Source organism: Homo sapiens, chromosome 21 (genome assembly GCF_000001405.40).
Source record: "Homo sapiens chromosome 21, GRCh38.p14 Primary Assembly".
NCBI lineage: Eukaryota > Metazoa > Chordata > Mammalia > Primates > Hominidae > Homo > Homo sapiens.
Window position 1 is genome coordinate 39,963,998 of NC_000021.9, and position 6,304 is coordinate 39,970,301.

The following is a 6,304-nucleotide window of genomic DNA, read 5'->3' on the forward strand; positions in this document are numbered from 1 at the left end:
GGCTGGTATGTGCCTCAGGATTGGAAGTATTTATTTCATTGTTAATGCGTGGACTCCTGTTACCAAATGGCCCTCAGTCTTCTCTCAATTCAGAGTCCTTTCCATGTACCAGGCCCTCTCCCCTAAAATGGTGCAGAGCCCATTGGATCATTTGGACCTCCTGTTTGCTGTCATTTGTGGTGTAACACTAAATGCCTGAGACCTTCCTGTGGGCTGGTAATGCCCTATAGAACTTGTTAAAAAAAAATCCCAACAAAATGGTTTCCAAAAACATCCTGTACAACAACAGCATCACTGGAATTTATGTCTATCTTTCCAGTTGGTGGAAAATTTTTATTTCAAAGTGTAAGTGTCAGCATATTTATGAAAAAAAGCAAGCATATTGATAGTCACATGGCTTAAAGTGTACACCCAAACCATTACAAGCAAGTATGGCCATTTATTTAACAGATAATATGATCTGGGCACTAAGCATATAGTGGTAAACAAAAAAGTTCTTTCAAAGACAGGCACATTCTTCTCACTGCTGGCAAATTCCTGCTCTTTGATGGTGAATTTGAGTTTTTGAAATGTCCAGATGATTTCAAAATGATTGGACATTTTGAAATGTCCAAATGGGAACAAACAGGTCAGAGTTGAGAACCAAATTGAGAATTGTCTGAAATCATTCAGAGTTGAACAAAGGGGGTTAGTCCTAGGCCTTTTCTGCTAGTTAAATACAGGATTTAAATAAATAATTAAGCCTGTATTTCTTATGAAATTTTTTATAAAGCCTGGATTATTTATAAACGAGCTCCGAAAGCCATTTCAATATGCCCTTATGTGTTTCAGCATCACTGAAACATTACTTTCAGAGTCAAACTCATTTTGAGATATAAATTCTGTCATAGTCTCATTATCTCTCATTCATACCTTGTTTTGAAACAAGTATGTTTAAATACCTTGTGAAGAAGGCAATGGTTCCTACTCTATTAGCAAAGACTAGAGTATTCACAAGATTTGGGGGAAAACACATTCAATATCCTTCTTGCATGACTTCTTAAAGATTTCTATTGCTTTTAATGATGGTCTCTTTTCTGCCTCTGGCTAGGAACCTTCCAGGCATTTTAGAGTAGATTTTCTGTGCTTCCAACAAAAGCCCATCACTGGGGAGCTAAATTACATTTAGAAGCTGCATTTTTATTTTAATGATATATTGTTGATTGATTTTGCGCTCAATTTAATAGAGTAATCATCCTGTTCCCCAGTGGTTCTGACATGCTCAGTGCCCTAGGCCAGAAGCCAGAATCAAGATCCTTTAAGAATAGAGAAGAGAGAGATAATCAATTCCTCACTCCACACCCTGCACCCCCACCAGCTGCTTGAACTCATTTTCATTTGGATTCCTAAATTAATGAATTGTCTTTTCCAAAATAGCAATCCCAGTTTATATAAACTGATTTATACTCAATGCACAAAATAGGTGGTGCTTGCTTGTTTTGCTAAAGGAAAGGAATGAACTTCCATGGTTATGATTTTATTAGACACTGAGTTTCCCTTGCCTTTTTAAAATCTGCACTCACACACAAGCACACACATGCACACACACACACACACACGGCAAATTGCAATTAAGAACTCCAGAACATCTCATTCTGCAGTGCTGGGATTGGATTACAAGGGATATTACAATTCTACATAATCTCATTATTTACAGCACACATTGTATTTTATATTTTAATTTATTTAATATCCAAAATGATCACTAGAAGTAAAATAACCCACCAGAGGAAAGAATGATGGAGCCAGGATTGATCATGTTTTTAGACCGAGGTCTTCTATGCTCTTTATTACAAGAGTGTTTCTCAAACTCAAGTATTGTAGAAACTCCTTTGAAAGAGGAAAATCCTTTTTATGGATCCTCAAGGGAAATGCTAGAGTTAAATGCTGCCATTTTTGGCGGTCAGCTAGTCTCATAACATCAGAAATCCTGAGGTGAACATGAGCATCCAGCCATTCAGAATAATCTTGGGCTTTAGAGAGTTGACATCAAGGAAATAACACATGTTATATAATATAAATGTCATCATAGGAGTTGAAGGATCTCCGCGAATTTATAGACTCCAGATTTAAAAACACAATGACTTAAGACAAAGAGTATTTTATAACTTTTCTGAGTGAAGATGGATGTATTAGTCTGTTTTCAGGCTGCTGATAAAAACATACCTGAGACTGGGCAATTTACAAAATAAAGAAGTTTATTGGACTTACAGTTCCACATGGCTGGGGAGGCCTCACAATCATGGTGGAAGGCAAGGAGGAGCAAATCACATCTTACATGGATGGCAGCAGGCAAAAAGAGAGAGCTTGTGCAGAAAAACTCCCATTTTAAAAATCATCAGATCTTGTGAGACTCATTTCACTATCACAAGAACAGCCCAGGGAAGACTCACCCCCATAATTCAACCACCTCCCACCGGGTTCCTCCATGACACATGGGAATTATGGGAGTTATAATTCAAGATGAGATTTGGGTGGGGACACAGCCAAACCATTATCAAGGGATAATTTACCATCTTTGTGCTCACAATTCTGCAGAGAGGATGGATCTCAGTCTTCAAACACAAGGAACCAAAAATTCAACCTTGTTTTCATGTTTATATTCTAACCCTTACTGGATGGTGGGGTCAATTAATTAAACATAAGCACAACCAATTCAGAGTTTCCTCTGGCACTTCAGGGTCTCTTCTCCCTCTGGTGGTGTCTAAATTCAAGGGTGGTGGGTTCAGAAAGTGCCACAGCCTGGGTGGGATTGGGCATCATGTCCTTTGAGGTCACAGTCCATTCCTGCAAACTCTGAGACTCCCATGTTCCTATTTGATCAGGGATTATTGGTCCACTCGGAGCTCTCTATGTCTGCTTTGTCCTGAGCTTGAGCCCTCAGCAGATCTCCTTGTCCTCCACTTCAGCACCTGCTGAGCAGTTCTCAGTGAGGAAGGGACACTCTTCTATGCTTTGGGGAACTGTGGGGCTGTCCCAGCTGTCACTTCTGCTCTCCTGCATCAAAACACCAGGGTGGGTGGAAAGCTGAAGAATCGGTCCCCAGCTGGGAAGTAAGGCACAGGTCACTTCTTTTCTTGGACCCTCAAACTCCGCCAGGAGGGGAGGGGGAAACTTATTCCTCCCTCATATTAGTCAGGGGTCTTCAGAGAAACAGAGCCACTAGGATACATACATTGGTCTATATCAATGTCTATGTCTGTATCTGTCTCTTTCTATTTCTATCTTTATGTACATGTAGACATACACAGATAAATTTATTTTTAAGGAATTGGATCATGTGATTGTGGGTTCTGGGAAGGCTAAAATCTGCAGGGCAGGCTGGGAGGCCAGATATCCAGGTGAGTGCTGATGTCACAGTCTCAGGATTGAGTTCTACAGAGCAGTAGGCTGGAAGCTCAGGCCGGAATTTTGTGTTGTAGTCTTGAGGAGAATACCTTCCTATTTGGGAAACTTCAGTCTTTTAAGGCTGTTAACCGATTGGAGGAGGCCTCCCCAAAGCATGGAGGGCCATATGCTTTATTTGAAATCTACTGATTTAAATGTTGATCACAATTACAAAATACCTTCACAGCAACTTCTAGGCTGGTATTTGACCACAAAACTGGCACCAGCCAGTATCGACAAGACAGGGCCCAGCCAAGTCAACATGTAACATTAACCATCACAGGGTAGACGGAAAGCTGAGGAATCAGTCCCCAGCTGGGAAGTAAGGCACAGGTCACCTCTGTTCTTAGATCCTCAAACTCATCCAGGAGGGGAGCGGGGAAATCTATCATTCCTGCATGGCTTCCCTCCAGAGGACGAGAACCAGCCTGGGCATAGGGTTCCTTCTCAGCACACCCACTGACCCCTAACTGTCAGACTTCCTTTCTTGTACTCCTTCACCCAAAGGCCAGGGACATCTGAGAGTTCTGGCATGGGGCAGAAAAACCTGGCTCTCCCTTTATCCTATGTTCTTCCAAATCTATTGTTTAGGGTGTAAAATGTATTTTCCCCAGCCCCTCCAAATCATGGTTTCTGTGACTCAAATAGCTTTTCTTGTAAACTGTGGCTTCTCCAATGAGTTTCAAAGGTTATTTATAAGCTCAAAAGTTGAGCCTTGCTGCCCTGGTTCTGCATGTCATCTTTTCTCCAGGAGGGGACCCTGCAGTGCCTTAGCTGCCACCTGACACAGGGGGCGCACCACAGGCACAAAGAGTCACTGGGTATGAAACGCTGAGTCAATTCATTAATGGCTGTATGTCTACAATAGCAAACAATTACAGCTTTGCACTGATGAGATTGCCTGTGTGTTCTGTTCACTGGGACCAGAACTTCCTCCATCACTGTCTCTGCATCTTAGTCATCTTGCTTTCACTGGTGTCTTAATCCATTTGGGCTCCTATAACAAAATACCATACACTGGGTGGCTTACAAGCAACAGTAATTCATTTCTCATGGTGGTTCTGGAGGCTGGAAAGTCTCAATTTGGTGTCTGGTGAGGGCTCATTTCCTGGTTCATGGATGGTATCTTCTTTTTGTGTCCTCACATGGTGGAAGGGGTAAGGAGTCACTTTGGGCCTATTTTATAAGGGCACTAATCCCATTCATGAGGGCTCCACCCCCATGACCTAATCACCTCCAGTGGCCCCACCTCCAATACCATCATCTTGGAAGTTAGGATTCTGATATCTGAATGCAGTGGGGAGGGGACAAAAACATTTTGTCCATTTCAGCTGGTGGATCACTGTCCACCACACTAAAAAAAAGAAAATTGAATGAAACTGAAGGACATTTTCAAATTTTCCTCAAACCTGATGACTGGGACAAGATAAGGAATATTCACAAGCATTAGTTTCTTCATATAGGAACAGAAATTCTTGGTGATCTCTGGCTGGCACTGTTCTACTTGAATGTTTTCACATCTACTAAGGCCAGGGCTTAATGCATTTGCACCTCTCTATTCATAAGCCCTTTTCTGTGGTTTGATTACAAAGCCAAAACCCATCTATTTTGTCACTTAGATCAATTATTATAATTATGCTTTGAAAAATAAAACTTTTGAAGCCCAGACTTAGAATGAGGATCTAGCTGCATCATAATTATAGTTAGTCCTGTGTGTCCTTGAATGAAGTTTCAATTTGTCTCAGAAAAATCTGGTTCTATGAAATATGGCATATCTTTTAATTGCTGATTAAGACCTACACAAATCCCGGACCCTATTTCTTTGTTCAAAGACATACCATCTTAAATAACTAGTGTAGAGGTGGCTCCCAATAATATTTGTTGAATGAATGAATACAAGGTAGGAATATAGATGCTTATATAAAATGTAAAATAGTTGCCAAGTCTGAGGGGTACACTTGTCCATGTGGCTTAAACCACTCAGCATTGCTGGCCCAGATATTACCATGTCCATCTGATTCCTGACCTTGGGGGCTGTTTTGTAGGTGAGCACCTTGTCAGAGGGTGTAGGGTGAATGCAAAACAGCCTCTGCCAACTGCAGTAGGGAGGAATGCACTGGAAGTTTCTAGAACCAAAGAGAAGGCTGGAGAATGTGGTACAGAGGAAGGGCAGTATCCAAGGCAGGTGTAGCACAGCGATGAAGCCCAGAACCTGCCAGCCTGGGCCTCGTTGTTGGCACTGTGGCTACCACTGGTTGCTTAATGCCCATGCTGATACATCCTGGGGGCAGAGGCCCCTGGACATCTGCCTCCATGTGGCAGCCACCACACTATCCCAGCATCTCTGGGTCACCCTCCTGAATGTGAAGGCTGGGGCAGGAGCTTCTCTTTGGCAGAGTGGCAGTCCCAGGCCCACGCAGTAGCAGTCAAGGTGGCACTGCCGCTATGCCTTCCACCGCAAGTCACACAATGGGGTGACTCCCTCAAAGTAAGAACCATGTTCTGAATCTGAGTGAGCAAAACCCCCACTGATTTTCACTGCTGTGTGCAACAGAGTCATGAAGAAATGTAGTTTTACTGAAAAGAAAGGAGCATTACACCAAGGCAAGCAAAATTACAAAACCGGCCCAATTTTCCTATAGAACTGAAGCTTGAGCAACTTGCATTTGTTTCACCTGAGTTACCTTCTCAGGAAACTAACCATCAGGCCTCCCAGATCACATCAAGGAACTGAAACTTCCCAGATCACCACAACCGGACAATCAGACGCACCTGCTGCCTCTTTACTAACTGCTCTTCCTTACCCCTCCCTAATTCTCTGGTATACAAACCCCGAATTTTACTTGGTTATAGAGATGGATTTGAGACTTGCCTCCCA